This window comes from Homo sapiens, chromosome 10 (genome assembly GCF_000001405.40).
Source record: "Homo sapiens chromosome 10, GRCh38.p14 Primary Assembly".
In the NCBI taxonomy this organism is placed as follows: domain Eukaryota; kingdom Metazoa; phylum Chordata; class Mammalia; order Primates; family Hominidae; genus Homo; species Homo sapiens.
The window spans coordinates 120,550,247-120,570,570 of record NC_000010.11 but is presented as its reverse complement, the minus strand read 5'-3'; the positions used below and the strand labels follow the sequence as shown (position 1 = coordinate 120,570,570).

At 37.9% G+C, this 20,324-nt stretch overlaps 1 protein-coding gene across 15 annotated transcripts in view, besides 1 other annotated feature; it reads right to left on the bottom strand.

Moving 5' to 3' along the window:
• The window catches only part of PLPP4 (phospholipid phosphatase 4), a 135,112-nt gene that overhangs the window by 21,495 nt on the left and 93,293 nt on the right, over positions 1-20,324 (bottom strand). The gene's annotated exons all lie outside the window — the stretch shown is intronic.
• Positions 13,958-14,692: an enhancer, noted in NCBI's record as "OCT4-NANOG hESC enhancer chr10:122315391-122316125 (GRCh37/hg19 assembly coordinates)". NCBI's record gives its function as "activates a minimal SCP1, AML or CMV promoter by ChIP-STARR-seq in primed H9 embryonic stem cells {active_cell/tissue: H9 hESC(primed)}" and the evidence as "EXISTENCE:reporter gene assay evidence [ECO:0000049][PMID:30033119]".

The window sequence follows — 20,324 nt, the reverse complement described above, 5'->3', positions numbered from 1 at the left end:
AAAAAAGAAAACTCTTAAAAAACAAATGAGATAAGAATCAGGAAGACAGGTCCTGCTTTTTATGTTGTATTTTTTTACTTTTGCTAATTATATTTTTCCACACAAGCTGATAATTTCTGGCACTGAACACACAATTGTGCTCTGATGAGTCAATCTATACAAACTTTCCATTTTGGGATGTTCAGAGAGTTGGTATGATCTTCTCTGAGGGAGAAAGGCAACGTTGGGTAGTTTAATAAACCTTAGTGTGGAAGGGTGTTTTGCAGAGGATATAAGTGCATCTCCAGAAGACCATTTGAAAAAAAGGATGTGGGAAACAAGCCTGCCTGGTCAATGCCTGCCCACCCTCATCAGCAGGAGGAAACCATGCCAAGCAGAGCAGGCAGAGGAGCATTCCATCAGAAGGACAGCCAGGTGATCAGAGGTTGAGTACCTCCCATGGGCCAGGCACTGTGCTGGAAGCTTTTCATTAGGTTGCCTCATTTCATCCCCAGAACAACACAATGATGTAGTCATTAGGCCATTCTATGAATGAGAAATGGAGGCTCAGAAAGTACAAATCATTTATATAGGTGTGATGCAGCTCTTTAGAAACTATGTGTTCTCTTTAAATAGAGCAAAAATCACAGATGTTCTTAGCATTATTGCAGTTAGAGCAATGCTAACTGCCTGTTTGTTTTCACACCCCCAATTAGGGACATGCCCATCAGGGTCACTGTTGAAGCTCTAGGACCGAACACACTGCCTGACAATAGGAGGCACCCGATATGTAATGCCCAAATGAAAATATAAATGGTAGAGACCATGTATTCATTTTACAAATATACCTGGACCCTATTAAGGATTCTGGCAAGAGGCCAAGGTCCTTGGGGACAGAAAGACATGAAAGGTCATGTCCTTTATCCCCTGTTTCTAGGCAGGGTGATACCTGAGCTACCTGAGCCATGTGAGATTTTCATCTCATGATGGAAAGGGTTGCACAGTCTTGTTTGAAAATGAGCAATGGGGAAAAGGAAAAGGAACTCCAAAACTCCTAATTAGTCTGAAAGCAAATGTCAGAGGCAGGAAATGCAAACAGAAAAAAGCAGACTATAAACTCCTTTTCTTACCTCATGTTGCATTTTCAAAGAAGATTTTGTTCTGAGAAAAAGAATCAACTCAGGCTCAACGCACAAGAAGTGCAGAGGAAGAACAGTGGTGGGAAGAAAAATGATAGCGGGAGGAAGGTGGCTGTCCTTTTGTCAACTGGCTGGAGGCACTGATCCTGGGAATGGGCAGATACAAGGAGGGAAAGTAGCAGCAGAGGAGGATTAAGAATTTTTTTTTTTTTTTGAGATGGAGTCTCACTCTTTACCCCAGGCTGCAGTGCAGTGGTGTGATCTCAGCTCACTACAACCTCCGCCTCCCGGATTCAAGTGATTCTCCTGCCTCAGCCTCCTGAGTAGCTGGGATTGCAGGTGCCCATCACCACGCCCAGCTAGTTTTTGTATTTTTGGCAGAGTTGGGGTTTCACCATGTTGGCTAGGCTGGTCTTGAACTCCTGACCTCAAGTGATCCACCCACCTTGGCCTCCCAAAGTGCTAGGATTACAGTCGTGAGCCACCGCACCTGGTTGGGGATTAAGGATTTTTGAATGACAGAAGGTGCTTTGGCTCCACTGTCCACCCCACACTCCTTGATGAAAAATGCTTATGAAAACTCATAAATGTTACTCCTTGCACTGGAGAAAACTACTGACAGTCACAAGGATGGGAAGTGGTTTTGCATATCTGAGCATCTTAATCTACAGAAGGTCTAAATCCCCAGGATAACTTTTCCTTTGATTATATGCCACAATGATCTGAAACATAAATATAAAAATAAGCCATCAAAAGAAAGAAATTGCCTTTTTCCATAATGACATTAGAGGAGCTGATATGAGCATGAGCAGGTTTGAAATAAAGATGATATTTTAATGAGAAATGATTTTTTAGTTTACCTTCAAAGGACTTAACAGAGCATAAATTTGATGAAGATATTTGAATAGTAATGCACATTTAAGAAACCACCAACAAGGAGTAGTCATTGATTTGCCCAGTGTGCTCATCTGATCATCCTCTAATTGGGGTGCATGGACTTCAGGAGAAGCCCTTAGGTTGTAATGATTGTTACTGCCTTGCTCTCTTCTAAACGAGTAGCCTCAACTCCTCCTGCCTTTTACGAGATGTCATACAACCTGTCTCAGGGTTTGCTAGAGAAGAAGAACCCTTCTAACCTGCTGCTGGCAGCCTTGCATGAGGGTCTCAGCCAGCACAGGAAGGGAATATAAATGGCCTTTGCATTAAGAAGATCTGTTACCCCTGAAATGTTTGGCTTAAATGCTGACCAATAGGGACAGTCTGTGATGGGTGCTGGCCACATGGCCCAATCAGATATTAAATATTGTATGAGTGGAAAAAGGCAAGCAGATTGACTTCAAGCTACTGTCCCGAGCTAAGCCAGGTCCTTATTTTTGTAACTCAAGAAGATTGTAGCACAACCGTATGAGAAGCCCCAAGTGATTGTATCAATGATGAGGTGGCTTTCCAAGATTTCCTCATGTTCTAGTTTTTCTTGCAATAAATTCCCTATCATGAAAGACCATTCCATGCTCATCTCACACACCACAAAGGAAGCTGACCATAAATAGAACTAGTAGCCTCATTATTTGAAATAAGCAAAGTCTGTCTTTCCATTACTTATGCCATCTGAATTTAGAAAGATATATTTTATGTTTATATGAGAACTGTGAATTTTTTAAAGTCAGGAAGGCCATTTTAAATCTGGGAAAGCAAATAAGTTGCATTTTTCATCTCTTGTAACTTTTGCAGACACTGCTAACTGGATCAATGAACTCTTTATCAAAAAAACAAACAAACAAACAGCAACAACATGAAGAAAACCCAGCTTTGGGCTCCGGATCTCCCTCAAGATAGTGTCCAAGCAGTGACTTGCCCCAGACAACAAATTGAGATCCACTTGCTAACTTCTTTGAAATAATTTAATCCAAGATGGCATTGAAACAAAAATAGAACTCTTCTAGGTATTAAGACTTGGGTTCCAAATCAGTGTGGTGTCCCCCTCAACAATCTCATCTATTCACTCAACAGGCATAACAACATCTGCTTCAGCCAACTCTCCAAAGACTTGATATGTGTGAAAGGACTTTGTAAACAGAAATTCAACATACAAATAAAAGGTGTTATTATCAGAAAAGCTGAGGAAACAAATATCTGGAAATATTGAATACAGAATCTGGTCTCACACCCAGACATGTCTATTTCTTAGCCAAAGTTTAGTTCCCCTTTTCAAATACAAGAATACCTAATAATTCCCAAACCTAGGGCTTCTATTTCTAGCAGTGTAGCAGACTATATATTTTGTTTGAAATAATTAAATGTTAGACGAAATATTAAAACAATCTTTTAAACATGCCGCTATGTTGACACAGAGAAAAATTAATAAAAACAAGGTTCCCAAAAATGAAGGGAGAGAAAAAACCTAGGGTGCAAGGACACAGGAAAGCCAGAGATCCACACTTGGCCCCGAGCATGTCTGTGGGGAACTGCAGACCTTGAGCTTCCAGTTTGAGGACGAAGAAACAAAGTCTCAGGACTACCTGTGGTGGAAAATGTCACAGAAGATCCCTGAGTAAATCTTGCACCCCAAAGACTAAATAACCTGCTTAAGTAGGAAAAGGCCAGGTGCCGTGGCTCACGCCTGTAATCCCAGCACTTTGGGAGGCTGGGGCAGGTGGATCACCTGAGGTCAGGAGTTCGGGACCAGCCTGGCTAACATAGTGAAACCCCATCTCTACTAAAAATACAAAAATTAGCCGGGCGTGGTGGCAGGCACCTGTAATCCTAGCTACTCAGGAGGCTGAGGTGGGATAATTGCTTGAACTCGGGAGGTGGAGGTGGAGGTGGAGGTTACAGTGGGCTGAGACTGCACCATTGCACTCCAGCCTGGGTGACAGGGTGAGACTCCGTCTGACAAAAAAAAAAAAAAAGAATAAGTAGGAAAAGAAGTCTGCCCTTCAGAAGGAAACGGCAAGGACACCTGCCTGTCTCCATCTTTGTGCTATGTGGAGAGATTTTAGAACTACAAGCCAACTCTCGTAGGTTTTTGCTATCCAATTCATGCTTCTCATATGGTCTCCAAAAAACCTTAAGTGGGGAGTTAATTTTGAGTGGTCCTGGGGTAGTTAGTGCTGTCAGGCAATTGGCAAAATATCTCTCTAGAGGAATTCAACTTCAACCCAGACATCAAAGTATTTCCAAAAAATAAACTTCTAGGAAAAATTAAAAGCCCAGAGTAAGAAAACTGAAACACAAAGATTTAGGACATCATAAATGAGAACCTATAAGAAAAACTGGCTAATAACAAGTTTAGATAGTATAGTTACAAGACATGAATATAAAATAACTATTTGCAATATGCTTGAAGAAATTTGAGAGAAGCTTAAAACTAAGGACAGAAAACAAACATTATAAAAGAATAATAAAATAGAGTTTTAAAAAGACCAAATAGAATTTCTATAAATGAAAAATATAGTAATTAAACTTTAAAACTCAGTAGACGGATTAAATAGCAAGTAAAACAAACCTAAGTAGAGAATTAGCAAATTGAAAGATAGATTCAAATTTTATCCAGAATGTAGTTAAAAATTTAAAAAGACATATGAAAAATAATGAAGGAAAGATAAGTGACATGGATGATGTGGTGAGAAGGCCTTAACAAATATCTAAGTGAAATTCTAAATTAGAGGAGGAAGTAATAGAGAAAATGGAGAAGAAGAAATATTCAAGTAGATAATGGCAGAGGGTATCTCAGGATATTGAAAGACACAAACTTGAGATTTATAAAGCCCAATGAATCCCAAACAAGATACATAAAAGGAACTCCACACCTAGACACAGTATTAATAAAACTTTACAACACAAAAAGAGAAGCAAGTTGTTAAAGACATGCAGAAAGGAAGAAAAGAATACCTACAAAGGAGCAGCAGTTTAAGACTCACAGATGACTTCAAAAGATCCAAAAAATCAAAGCTAGAAGCCAGTGAAATAATATCATCAAAGTTCAGAAAGAAAGAGTAACTGTCAAACTAGAATTCCATATTGAATAAGGCCATCTTCCAAGAATGAAATCAAAGACAATTTAGGAAATTCAAAAACACAGAGCATACAGCACACACACACACACACACACACACACACACACACACACACACACACCACACAAACAAATCAAAGGAAATGTAAGGGATATGTTTTAGGCAGAAAGTTGTAAGGCTGATACACGAGGGAATGCTAAGCAAAGATACTGGCATATCTGTGGGTTAAAGTATGCAGAGGTTGGTGGTTTGTTGGGAGGAAGGAGAAAGAATCAAGCTAGAATTAAAATACCAGATAACATTGTCAAATAGGTTAGAACATATTATCGATCAGAGTTAAAGCATTTAATGTTCTTACATTGCTCAGAAGGAAGAAAAGGTATTAACTTGAGACTTCGTTAACTATGTGTGTTAAACTAGAGGTTTGATAGAACTTTCAAACTAAAAGAGGAAAATAATGAATTCAGACATAAAAACAGTATAAGAAAGGACAAAGAAGTATATAAAGAATATACGAATAAGGCTTTAAATATGTGAGTAATTATAAGAAATAGAATAGAAATTTGCTCCCTATTTAAAAATTTTTTAAATACATACATAAAATATAGGGCACACACAAAAAAGAAAGAAAAATGAGACAAATATTAATGAATACAATTCTGTATAAATATTAATGTTTGATTGTCTTTATGGTAAGAAGCAATATTAGAGATAAAGATGATCATGACTTACACAGGTAGTAGAAGGTATAATAGGAAGTATTACAATTCTAAACTGTTTACACATCACTCCAAATATATGAATCAAAAATTGATGAAATTACAAATACCCTAGAACTACAACATTTGCCATAATAGTGGAAAATTTTAATTCACATCTTTGCTATTGACAAATTAAGAATAAACAGAAAACAGAAATATTAGATAGGACATATAAGATCTGAACACCAAATTAACAATCTTGTTCTAATAGACATATAACAACTTTGTGTCCAACAATTTTAAAATTCACGTTCTTTTAAAGTCATATAGAATATTTATAAAAACTGACCTTATGCTAATTCTCAAAGCTAATCAAAGATCTAAGGACTGGTTATCTGTATAGATCTCTATCTGACCATAATGCAATTGAATTATAAACTATTTTGAAGATATAACAAGAAAAATATCTTACTTTTGGGATTTTTTTTAAAGCTCTACTAAACAACTGTGGGTCACAGAAGAAAACAATGAAAATTAGAAATATCCAGAATTAAAATTAATGAAAATAATATGTATTAAAACTTATAGAATATAGCTAATGCAACATTTAAAGGAAAATTTATAGCTAAATTGTTTTTGTTAGAAAAACAAGATGAGCATTATTGCACTGCATTTAAATTAACAATAAGTTTAAAAGAACAGCAGAATACATTCAAAATTGAAAGAGAAAAATAATAAAGAAAATAATGAAAAGCAAAACAAACATACAGTAAAGAGGCTCAAAGCAAAAATACCAGTTCTTTGAAAAGACCAATGAAATAAATTGAAATGACTAAGTTCTAAAAACAAATAAAAATTACTAAAATATCTCAAGACAAAAATATTTTAAAATTCAAGATTTTTTTTTTTTTTTTTTTTTTTTTTTTTTTGAGACGGAGTCTCGCTCTGTCGCCCAGGCCGGACTGCGGACTGCAGTGGCGCAATCTCGGCTCACTGCAAGCTCCGCTTCCTGGGTTCACGCCATTCTCCTGCCTCAGCCTCCCGAGTAGCTGGGACTACAGGCGCCCGCCACCGCGCCCGGCTAATTTTTTGTATTTTTAGTAGAGACGGGGTTTCACCTTGTTAGCCAGGATGGTCTCGATCTCCTGACCTCATGATCCACCCGCCTCGGCCTCCCAAAGTGCTGGGATTACAGGCGTGAGCCACCGCGCCCGGCCTAAAATTCAAGATTTTTATAACTCTAGGTAAACTGATTCTATATTTTGAAATCTAGGACCACATTTTCATGGACATATTTTCCAGGCATCCCTCCAAAAAATAAATCAACTCACATAGACTCTTTACAAAGAATTAAAAATGAGGGGATATTTATTCTATGAAGCTTGTTAACTATGATATTCAAGTCTTATATATTTTCCAATTTATGTTTGATCTATCATTCACTGAAATGTATCTTTACATCTTTTTTGTTTGTTTGTTTGTTTGGTTTGGTTTTTGAGATGGGGTTTCGCTCTTGTTACCCAGGCTGGAGTGCAGTGGCGCGATCTCCGCACACCGCGACCTCTGCCTCCTGGCTTCAAGCGATTCTCCTGACTCAGCCTCTCAACTAGCTGGGATTATAGGTATCTGCCAACATGCCTGGCTAATTTTTGTATTTTTAGTAGAAGTGGGGTTTCTCCATTTGGCCAGGCTGGTCTCAAACTCCTGACCTCAGGTGATCCACCCGCCTTGGCTTCCCAAACTGCTAGGATTACAGGCGTGAGTCACCATGCCCAGCCTGAAATGTATATTTATATCTTAAACAATTTTCATGGATTTTGTAGGTCTCATATTTCTATTTTGTACATCTGTCTTATTTTAGTAACAGTGATTCCAAAACCATACAGGTATGGTACAAGAAATGAGAATTACCAACCAATATTACTCAAAACATATTTACAAAAGTCTTAAACAGAATATTATCAACCAAATCTAGCATTGAGTAAAAGGGGAATACATCTTAGCCAAGGTAGGTTAATTCCAGGAATTAAAGCAGGTTTAAAATTTTTTAAATTGATTACTATAAATGACCGCATTAACACATCAAAGGGAAAGTATCACTTTTTTTTGATGTACAAAATTCGAAGTTCATTCTTAGCAAACTAGAAATGGAAGGAACCTGATAAAGAATATCTAGCAAAAAAGTCCTACTTATTGGTCAGACGTTTAAAGCATTCCCTTAAGATCAGTAACAAGACACAAATGTTTGCTATCCCCACTTCTAGAACATTGCACAAGAAGCCCTAGTTAGAGAAGACAAGAGAACTCAATAAAAAGGGTTAGGAATTAGAAACGAAAAAAATGAAACTGTACTTATTTGCAGGTGGTATGATTTTCTATGTAGAAAACTCAAAATAATTTATGGATAAGTAATTAGAATTACTAGGAGAGTTTTTCAAAATTTCTGCATTAATAAAATTAATATACCAAAGTCACCAGCATTTCTGGACACCAGAAAATAATTAGCTAGGAAATGTAATTTAAAAAATAAAATTTATAATAGCAATAAGAATATAAAACACCAAAGAATTAGTCTTATAAATGATGTGCAAATCCTTTAAAGAGAGAAGGATAAAACCACTAAAAGACATTAAGACCTAAATAAATAGACAAATATACCATATGCTTAGAAAGGAAGATATCACTTCTCCCCAAATTGAACCCTAGATTTACTAAAATCCCAATCAAAATCTTAGTAAGGGTTTTCATGGAACTTGACAAAATGGGTCTCAAGGCTGAGAATAGCTAAGACACTTCCGAAGAAAAGCAATGGGAGAGATGTGGTAGAATCCTCTGCTTCCAGTTATGCAAGGATTACACTCCCTTGCACCCTTGAAATCAGGTGTGGTCATGGGAGTAGCTCTGCCAATGAAATGTAAATATAACTGGCATGTGTCACTTCTGGGAGAAAGCATTACAAGTTGACAAGTGATTCTCCATGCTCTCTTCTCTCATGTGGAAGAACATATTGAGATAGTAACACAGCCTCTGTTTGCCTGGGACCCTGAATGACCACAACTGTATGCATAGCATGAGCAAGAAAGAAGCCCTTTGAGTTTTAAGCCACTGAAATTTGTACCCAAAGACAGCCCAACCTATCCTAATCTATCCAAGGAGATTTGTCTTATTTAAACCTTATTATAAAATTTATTATGTCAAGACATATTATAAAGGTAAAATGATTAGGACACTGCAGCATTGGTATAGGAATAAGCAAACAGACCCATGAATCAGAATTTTAAAAGCCAAGAAAAAGACCCATCCTTACATGAACATGAAATATGGCAGGGGTCATGATATGTTGTAGGTCAGTGAATATCAATAAATGGTGCCGGTATCCATATGGAAAAAAAATTGGACTGCTACTATACCCAGAAATCAATTCTGGATTATGAATTTAGAGGAGAAAGCAAAACTATAGGACTGTTAGAAGATAATACAGTCTTGGGATTGAAAGACATGTGTTTAAAAAGATATAAAAAATACTAATCACAAAGCAAAGGACTGATAAAACTGACTTTAACATTGAGAACTTGGTTCATCCAAATACATAATAAGTCCTAGACTGGATACTTGTTTGACCAAAGCGCTAAAGGACTGCTGGTCAACTGGGAAAATTTGAAGATGGTTTACCTATATGGTGAGAGGAAATCTACTCAAATGAAAACTTGGAGGTTGGTGACTGAAAATTTGTTTTGATTACATATACAGTTGACCCTTGAATAATGTGGGGGATAGGGGCACCGACACCCCATGCAATTGAAAATCTGAGTATAACTTTCGACTCCCCCCAAAATTTTACTACTAGCCTACTTGTTGACCAGAAGGCTTGCTGATAACACAAATGGTCAATTAACCCATATTTTGTACAGGTTGGTGCAAAAATAATTTCAGTTTTTACCATTAAAATTAATACCACTATTTTTTTATTTTTGTTTTTTTGAGACAGAGTCTCACTCCGCCACCCAGGTTGGAGTGCAGTGGTGCAATCTCAGCTCACTGCAACCTCTGCCTCATGGGTTCAAATGATTCTCCTGCCTCAGCCTCCTGAGTAGCTGGGATTACAGGTGCACACCACGGTATCCAGCTAATTTTTGTATTTTTAGGAGAGATGGGGTTTCACTATGTTGGCCAGTCTGGTCTCAAACTCCTGACTTTAGGTGATGTGCCTGCCTCGGCCTCCCAAAGTGCTGGGATTACAGGCGTGAGCCACTGCGCCCAGTCTGCCATTATTTTTAATGTCAAAAACCACAACTTATTTTGCACTAACCTAATATTTCAGAAAATGTATAAGGTGTTCACATCTGCTGGTGCAGCTGCAGTGACAGCTTCACAAATGATTTTTTTCTTTCTTTTTTTTTTTTTTTGCAATGGTCCTTAGGCTCGATTCATTCATCTTGAAATGGTGGGCAACCACAGTTACAGACCTCAACCTATAGTGCATAGTCAGTACAGTTTGACTTTTCCTTGTAATGTCATGACTTTTCTCCACTTCTCGGGAGCACTTCCAGCATCACTAGTGACACTTCATAAGTCCCATGGTGTTATTCAAGGTTTACAACATTGCACCAAACACAATGGGAAATATGCGACAACTGTGAGAAATCACTTTCACTGTGGCCCACCGCCAATTTCGTGGAGACACGAACTGCTCACGTGAAGGTGATCAGCGCCACACGGTGTTTTAGGTAGATATTCAAAACACTTGAGCTCACACAATAGCAATGGGAGGTGGCTATAAAATTACCACAGAAGTGCAGCGCATTCTACAGTTAATCTTACGCAGCTGTGATTTAATACTGCAGCTTCAAGTTTATTGACTGCGAATGATGCCACGTACCACCTATGTTTGTATGTGTAAGGTCTGATAAATTTTAACTTTTCATAATAGATTTGTGTATATTTTATGATAGTAAATGATACATGTAGATGTAGTATCTACATATATTTTATGCATTCATGACATAGCTTTTTAAATTTTTCTTTTAGATTTCTAGGCTTTGTGATTCCTCTATGAGTTTTTTCAAATTTTCACAAATCCCCCCAAAATTTTCAATATATTCATTGAAAAAAAAAATCCACATATAAGTGCACCCTCACAGTTCAAACCTGTGTTGTTCAAGGGTCAACTGTACATACATACACATACAGGTATGAAATTCAGAATATGAAATCCTGCATAAGATGCTAATTCTGGTGACTTCAGGGCAGTAGGAATGTAAAGTTCTTTTTAAAAAGTTTGCTTCTCTGTATATTTTAACTTTCTACAATGTGTATGTACTCTTTCTTTAATAAGGATTATAAAATAAAAGAATTAATAAATCCACGAAAGAAAAATAAATAATAAATACACAAACATCTCCCTTTTTTGTGGAAGGCAAAAAAAAAAATGAACATGAAAAGACAAGCAAGGAAAGGGAGATATTTGCCACAAGTATGACCAACAAAGAACTAATATCCATAATATTTTTAAAACCCTAATAATTAATGAGAAAAAAGTGACAACCTAATTGAAAAAAATGGTCAAAAGGCATGAACAGGTATGTTATATAAGAGAAAAGCTAAGATCCATTAAACTAATGAATGATCTAGCTCAGTAGTCATCAGGAAAATACATATCACAACTACCAGGAGCTACCAATACATCTTTCAGACAAGCAAAAACTAAATTCTGACCATGTTAGGTGCCGACAAGACTGTGGGGCAATGGGAATTTTCATAACTTGCTGGTGAGAGTGTAAAAACAGTTTGTCATTAGTTATTAAAGCTGAAGATAAGCAAATGACCCAAAAATTTTACTGCAAGTAATTTATCTGAGAGTTATATTTGGAAGAAGCACAAAAAGAATTCATGCTGACACTTTATAATAGGTCCATACTAGAGATGACTCAAATGTCCATGAGCATTAGAATGATTTTTTTTAAATTGAGGTATAGTCATGGCTTAAAGTGGCAGATAAAAATGAAAGTGAATAAACTTAGCCTGGGCGTGGTGGCTCACACCTATAATCCCAGCACTTTGGGAGGCCAAGGTGGGCGGATCACTTTAAGGTGAGGACTTCGAGACCAGCCTGGCCAACATGGTGCAACCTCGTCTTTACTAAAAATACAAACATTGGCCAGGTGTGGTGGTGGGCACCTGTAATCCCAGCTACTCAGGAGGCTCAGGCAGGAGAATAGCTTGAACCTGGGAGGTGGAGGTTGCAGGTCGCAGTGACCTGAGATTGTACCACTGCACTCCAGTCTGAGTGACAGAGCAAAATTCCGTCTCAAAAAAAAAAAAAAAGAAAGAAAGAAAAGAAAATGAATAAACTCCTGCTACATACATCAATAAATAGAAGAATCTCAAAAAATAATAATGAGCAAAATTAGCAAATCACAAAACATATGCTGTGTGACTCCCTTTATGTAAAGTTCAAAAACAGGAAAAACTAAGCAATAATTTGCTTAGGAATGTATACATGTGTATGTGTGCACATGTAAAACTATCTAGAAAAGCAAAGAAATAATTTTGAAAATCTCAAGATAATGGCCACAGTAAGAGAGAGAAGGATCAGCCACCAGGAGGGTAATGTAGGATTTCTAAGGGTATAGTTAAATTCAACCTCTTAAACCAAGTGCTGGGTACATGGAGGTCTGTTTTTTTATTATTACTTAATATTTATTAATATTATTATTTAATAGTAAATATAATATTTAAGCCAATGATTATTTTTCTATATGATTTTGTACATACATTTCACTGTTAACCAATTATCCCTGTTAAACAACTGTGGTATGGCAAGAAAATTATATAGTGCAGAGCAAATGCAGAAAGAGCTAGTGACCACACTGTTTGCTCTATAACAAGAGTTATGCAGCCATTCATTTGGTCATCAGGCAAGTCAGACCATTTTAAAAAGGAACAAATTCAACTCCTTCAGCCCTTTTCTCATTGTCAAAGCTTAATTGTAAAATTCCATAATCACAGGGCATACGCTACACATGCCAGGGCTATGCATGCCGACTGCAGCAACACACTAATGACCATAAAGTATTGAATTTGGTTTTTGGAGATGCTAACTATTATAATTAGGGAGGCTTTACATAGCATTTTTTTGTGACAACTGTGATTCAGCTAACCAGAAAAACAGAAGCTGTGCTCCTCAAGAAAAAAACAACAAAGGAAACCTACCCAAACATCACCTCATTATTCAAGTGCAATGAACTCCAACTAATACTTAATTACAAGAGGCGTTTGGAGGTTCAGAGTAGAATAAGACATGGCATTCTCCGGAGGCACTTGATTGATTTCTCAGATTACAAAATTCAAGCCACTGAGAATTCTGAAAACATCGATTTAGCAAGAGAGAGCCCAGGGAGCATTCAAGGCTTGTAATGGGAATAAATTCAGAATAAATGAAACTGGCCAGGTTACCTGTTACAGATCTTACACCAAAACATATTTCAAGCTTCATTGCTATTTTATTTTTCTAATGCAGCTATTTCTTGAGGGTGAAAAGTCAGATTTCATTCCTATTTTTCCTGTTCATTACAACACACACCTGAGACTGGCCATTTGTTACGATGGTCAGCATGATTCCCACAGGCTCAGAAAAATGCTAAGCCAGGACTTGGATTATTTATTTTCCTTGAGAATTATTAGCAATGAAACATGCCCCACAAACATTAGAATGAAATAAAATACTTTTGTTACAAAGTTTTGAGGAGGAAAACAGCCGCATGAATCATCAGTTGGAGATCTCTTCACTGACTGCAACATCTTAACCTAAGTATTAGGTTGGTGCAAAAGTAATTGTGGTTTTTGCCATTAAAATTGCAAAATCTGCAATAACTTTTGCACCAACCTAAATATAAGATAGGTAGATGTGGATACAAAGTAACATCTAGTGCCGAGGTTTGAATCTTAGCTTCACTACTTGCTGTGTGACCTCAAGCAAGATACTTAACTCTCTGCTTCTCACCTGCAAATGGGATCAATACGAATATCCATCTTATAGGGTTTTCCTAAGGACTAAGTAAAACAGCCCTTGTAGAACATTTGGTGCATGCCTAGCATCCAGTAAGTACTCAATAAATGCTAGCTGTATTTTGGAACTATAGTTAGCAGAAAGCCTCTACGCTTAGTTTACTACACTCAACAGGAGACTGGACTTTTTTCTGCATTTCTTCTATCATGAATGACAAACTTGAATTTTATACTCTTGTCCACACCATGTGGCCTACTGCCCAAGAAATCTGAACACTCCCTGCATTCACAAACAGACATGTGGGCCAGAAATAGTTTAAGTTAAACATAACTGTTCCACTCCCGCTGTGATTTCTAACATGACAAAGGAGAACAAACATCAGAAAAATCAAGAACAATGTAAGCCACCTGTCAGCTTTAAGAGAGACAAAAAATACAGGACTAGAAGAATTACCCCCCAGGGCACTAAGAGACTCTCCCCAGTGTGATCAAAAGTTACTTCCAGGAGTCTTTGCAACACGTGAACAGCAGGAAAGCTACCAGAAGCCTGACAACAGGAAAATATCCTGATTTGTTAAAATACACATACATATACATTTAAAGTAAAACTTGGAATTCCAGAAGGTAAAGACCAAAGCTTTTGATACAGGTCTCTGGCAATAGTCACAGAATGGAGTGTGTGATCTAACAGGCCTTACCACTTTAGCTAAGACAGAAAGCAGAGGGGGGCAGTCCTGCAAGCCACAAGCCACCAGTCTGAGAAAACAAGAGATAAAGGGAGTGAGCACACCTATAATTTGCTCCTCAGTATACAGAGCCAGTTACTCTCTTGGAAGGATCCCTCCTTACCAGACTGGAATTTCTTAAGAACAGATGCTGTCTTTTTCACCTTGTGATCCTCATAACTTAATTTTGTGCCTGGCACCCAGGAGGCAATCAATAAATATCTGTTGGGTGAATGAATGAGATGCAAAGAAACCTGCTGAAGGTCAAGGCTGGCAGGTGATAGATACAAGACTTGAAATTACATTCATTCATGCATTCATTCATTCAAACAGGCAGGCACTACGCCAGGCAGACCCGTGCTCTTTCTGTCTCTGCACCCAGTGTGTGTTGATACAGTAAGGTGTTTGCCAAGGCCACAGTTTAGAAGCAAAACAGGCTGAGCAGCAGAGAGCTATTTTGGAGTTTCAGTAGCTGACCGAACAACTAAACTAAAAAGTATGGATGCTGACCTCTTCAGAGACCCCGGTCTCATTTCTGTTCAGTCTTTCCAGATGAGTTGGGTGAAAGACTGAAAACTGTGGTACCAAATAAAGTCCTTTTTATCTAAACTGTCTCACATGGCCCAGGCACAATGCAAGGAAAATACAAAATGTGATTTAAACACTAGAAAAAAGCCAGTTGGGGACAGCCTACCATTTGTAAGCTTGTACATTATGCAGACCAACCATAGGACAAACACGATCTTTTTTCAGTCTAGCTTTGGGAGTAAAAGTTCTACCATGGAGCCATATTTTTCATTTTCCTTTCTAGAGGTAAAAGTAAGTATTTTGCTATGTAGGTTCTGCTTGGTTTCAGTATTTTTAGTTTATTCTCCTTTACCTGTATTTTCCCCACTCTCTTCCACCCCCACCCCCCACATTTGCCACTCGCTGTAATCTGACAGCCACTGGGAGATTATCAGCATTCCCAAAATTTCTCAAACGTGGGTTTGGGGCAGGTAAGGCAGACATATGATACCTGTCCCAAGTGGCAGACAGAGCCAGCTGGTTGCTGGACGTATGCAGGGTGATATGGTTTGGATTTGTGTTCCCACCCAAATCTCATGTCAAACTGTAATCCCCAATGTTGGAGGAGGGGCCTGGTGGGAGGTGATTTGGTCATGGGGGCAGATTTCCCCCTTGCTGTTCTCATGATAGTGAGTTCCCATGAGGTCTGGTTGTTTAAAAGCGGGTAGCACCTCCACCTTCACTCTCTTCCTCCTACTCCAGCCACGTAAGACATGCCTGCTTCCCCTTCACCTTCTGCCATGATTGTAAGTTTCCTGAGACCTCCCCGTCATGCTCCCTGTACAGCCTGCAGAACTGTGAGCTAATTAGATCTCTTTTCTTTATAAAGTACCCAGTCTCAGGTAGTTCTTTACTGCAGTTTGAGAATGAACTAAGACAGAAAATTGGTACCAGAGAAGTGGGGCATTGCTATAAAGATACCTGAAAATGTGGAAGTGTCTTTGGAACTGGGTAACAGGCAGAGGTTGGAACAGTTTGGAGGGCTCAGCCAAAGACAGGAAGATGATGGAGAGTTTGGAACTTCCTAGAGACTTGTTAAATTGTTGTGACCAAAATGCTGATAGTTATATGGATAATAAAGTCCAGGCTGAGGTGGTCTCAGACGGAGATGAGGAACTTTTTGAAAATTAGAATAAAGGTCCTCTTGCTAAGCTTTAGCAAAGAGACTGGCAGACTTGTGCCCCTGCTCTAGGGATCTGCGGAACTTTGAACTTGAGAGTGATCATTTACAGTATCTGGCAGAAGAAATTTCTAAGCAGCAAAACATTCAAGGGGTAACCTGGCTGCTGCTAACAGCATATGGTCATATGCATGAGCAAAGAGATAATCTGAAACTGAAACTTATATTTAAAAGGAAAGCAGAACATAAAAATTTAGAAAGTTGGCAGCCTGACTATGCGGTAGGAAACAAAAAACAAAAACATTTTCTGCAGAGGAATTCAAACCAGCCACAGAATTTGCATACTGGGAGCTGAATGTTAATAGCCAAGACTTTGGGGAAAATGCCTCAAAGGCATTTTAGAGACCTTCATGGCAGCTCCTACATCAAGGTCTAGATCCCTAGGAGAGAAGAATAGTTTCTCGTGGGCCAGGCCCAGGGCCTCACTGCCCTGAGTAACCTGGGGACATGGCACTCAGCCTCATGGCCACTCCAGCTCCAGCCATGGCTTAAAGTGGCCAAGGTATAGCTCAGGCTATTCCTTGAGAGGGTGCAAGCTATAGGCCTTGGCAGCTTCCACATGGTGTTAAGTCTGTGGGTATGCAGAGGGCAAGAGTTGAGGCTTGGAAGCCTCCTGCCTCTTTCTCAAGATATGTACTTTGCCATCAAATTGGTGTGATTTGCATTGTGCTATTTGTTGTTTTAATCCATTGGGACTGCTATAACAAATACCATACACTGGGTACTTTATAAACAACAAAAATTTATTTCTCCCAGTTCTGGAGGCTTGGAAGTCCATGATTAAGGCAGATTTGATGTCTAGTGAAGCCTGTTTCCTGGTTCAAAGGTGGTACCTTCTTACTGTGTCATCACATGGTGGAAGGGGCAAGAGAGCTTTCTGGAGCTTCTTTTAGGAGGGCACTAATCCCATTCATAAGGACCCTATGACCCTATGACCTATCATTAGGCCCTATGACTTAATCACCTCTCAAATGCCCCAGCCCCTAAAACCATGACATTGGTGATTACTTTTCAACATATGAATTTTGGGGAACACATTCACATCATGACAACTGTCATATTAAAATGACCAATAACCAATGGTAACTGAGAAAGAGTAAGAGGCTCCCACCAGGATTTGGCCGAAATAGGTGTTTGAAAGCATCTCTTGGAAGTGCTCAATTCATTACTACATATTTTCTTTCATATCATGCTGCTTTTGGCTTCCCCATGCAATCTCATAACTACAAAGAATCAGAAGAATCAGATAATAGTAACTCGAATGTTGAGAACTCTAATGTCCATGCCCCTCTCAAGCACAGCAGAAGTGCTACCTATGGTGTGTCAGTCAGCAGCAGAGTCTCAGCTTTCTTGGATCCTCCAAAGGCCTTCTCCTGCATCAATTCCATCAACTGCAGTCTTGTCACTCAGTTCTTTGAAGAGTTGTGTAAATCAGCATAGCCTATATGCCTGTCTCTAATCACTGATACAAGTCTATAGCTTGCAAGAAATGAGGCTCAGTGGTGAAAGTTAGTTTGTGTTCTGTAGGGCCAAAGTAGGTCATAGATTCAGTAAAGTTCAGTTAAAACAAAAAACAAACAAAAAAAGCAGCAGCCAAACCGCTTGTCAAGACAGTCAAAATGGTGCTTCTCACCCACCAGCCAGATTGCTTTCCTGGGAATGAGCACAAAAGTATGTGCATGTGAAACACAGGAAATATGCACATTGAATTCAAATAAAGTTCTGGAGACTTCCCAAGACATTATTTTTTGATGGCCAATGGTGATAGAATGAGAATGGATAATGTCAAAAAGAATTAGAATCAAATCAGATTCCAACTTTACCCATTGGAGGGATGATGATATACCACCCTGATTTTGGCTTCAATGTTTCATCCGTTAGATAAAGAAGCTGTGATTCAGTGAAAGGTCATCTCACTATAGGCAGCCAAATACCTGAGTTTAGAGAAAGATGCCTTATTCTCTCTGGTGATACAAGCTTTTTTCAATGAATAAGAATCTGGCCTGCCAGGATTTAGAGAAATGTGTGGACTTCACAAAACATAACATCACACACACACACACACACACACACACACACACACACACACACCCCACCACCACTAACAACACAATCACCATCATTATCACCACCTGGGGCAACAGAATTGAGCATTTTATAAGGAAGCTACTAATTCAACAGATATTTACTCAGTTCCTGCTACAAGTCTGGCCAGGTATTATGCTCAGTTCTGGGGGGCAAATAAGACACACTTGGGTTTTGGCCTTATGGAATTTACAGAGAAATAATTACAAATTGTAAAAAAAAGTTAGGAAAGCAACAAATAGGCTTATGAAAAACAGAATGGTTGATGACAGGAGAGGAGACTCCACTTTATATAAACCTGAAAGATGAGAAGGAGCAACTTATGCAAAGAGCATTAAAAGGAGTGTCCAAGGTGCATAAGTCTTAAGTTCCCCAAAACATAGACACTCATGTAAGCAAGACCTCAATAAACATAGAGAACATTTCCATCACCTCAGAATAATCCGTTACAGCTCTTGCCAGCCAGTTCCCTCCCTTGCCAATGACCTCCCCACTTAGGACAACTACTCTAATTTCTACACCATAGACTAGTTTTGATTGTGCTTGGACTGCATATAAACAGAATATTATAGCTTATACTCTTTTCTGTCTGACTTCCTTTTCTCAACATAATGTTTTCTAGATTCATCCATGTTGCAATATTTGTTAGTAGTTTGTTCCTTTTAATTGCTATCCATTCTCCTATTGATTAACTTTGGGTTGTTTCTAGTTTGGGATCATTAGGAATAAAACTGCTATTAATATTTTGTACAAGACCTTTTATGAATGTATGTTTTTATTTCTCTTGGGCAAATACCTAGAAATGCATCTGCTAGGTAGTAGGATAAGTATATGATTACTTTATAAGAAACTGACAACCAATTCACAAAGTGGCAGTAACAATTTATACATCACCAGCAACATTTGAGAATTACACTTAAATCCATACCCATCAACATTTTGGCATTGCTGATCTTTTTGAATTTAGCTATTCTAATTGTCATGAAGTGATTTTAATTTGTATTTCCCTAATGAGGAATAATGGAGCACCTTTTCATGTGCTTACTGATCATACATACAGTTCCCTTTATGTAGTCTCTGTTCAAGTCTTTTGCCTACATTTGTATTGGGCTTTTTTTATTGCTGATCTGTACATACTCTTTATATATTGTGGATATGAATGCACAAGTCCTTTTGAGACATATGAACTGTAAATATTTTCTTTCAGCCTGTGACTTGCCATTTTATTTCTAGAATATCTTTTGAAAAGCAGACATTTTTAATTTTGCTTGAGTTCAATTTATCTTTTATTTTCTATTATTGGTGCTGTTGTGTTTCTCCTAAAGAAATCTTTGTCTATCCCAAAGTACCAAAGATATTATTCTATATTATCTTCTATATGATTTATAGATGAACTTTTTAGTATGTGATTAATTTTGAAATAAGTTTTATATATAGCATGAGGTAGGGGTCAAGCTTACTTTTTTCCCACACTTTTATTCAGAATTTCTAATATCATTGATTTTAATCTTTCCATTTGCCACTAGATTACCTTGACACCTTTTTTGAAAGGTGTGGGTCAATTTCTTGACTCTATTCTGTTTTATTGATCTATTTATCTGTCCTTAACCACATTGGCTTGATCACTATAACTTTATAAGAACTCTTGAAATTGGGTACTGTCAGTACTTCAAATGTATCCCCCTTTCTGAAAATTGTTCGGCTATCCTAGGTCCTTTGGATTTTCATATAAATTTTATAATCAGCTTTCCAAGTTCTACATACAGAATCTAAATAGGATTTTGTTGAATCTATACTTAAATTTAGGGATAATCAATATCTTAACAATATTGGATAATTCAACTCATGAATATGGTATACTTTCCACTTATTTAAGTCTTATTTAGCTTTTTAGCAATGTTTTGCAGTTTGAAAAATATAGGTTT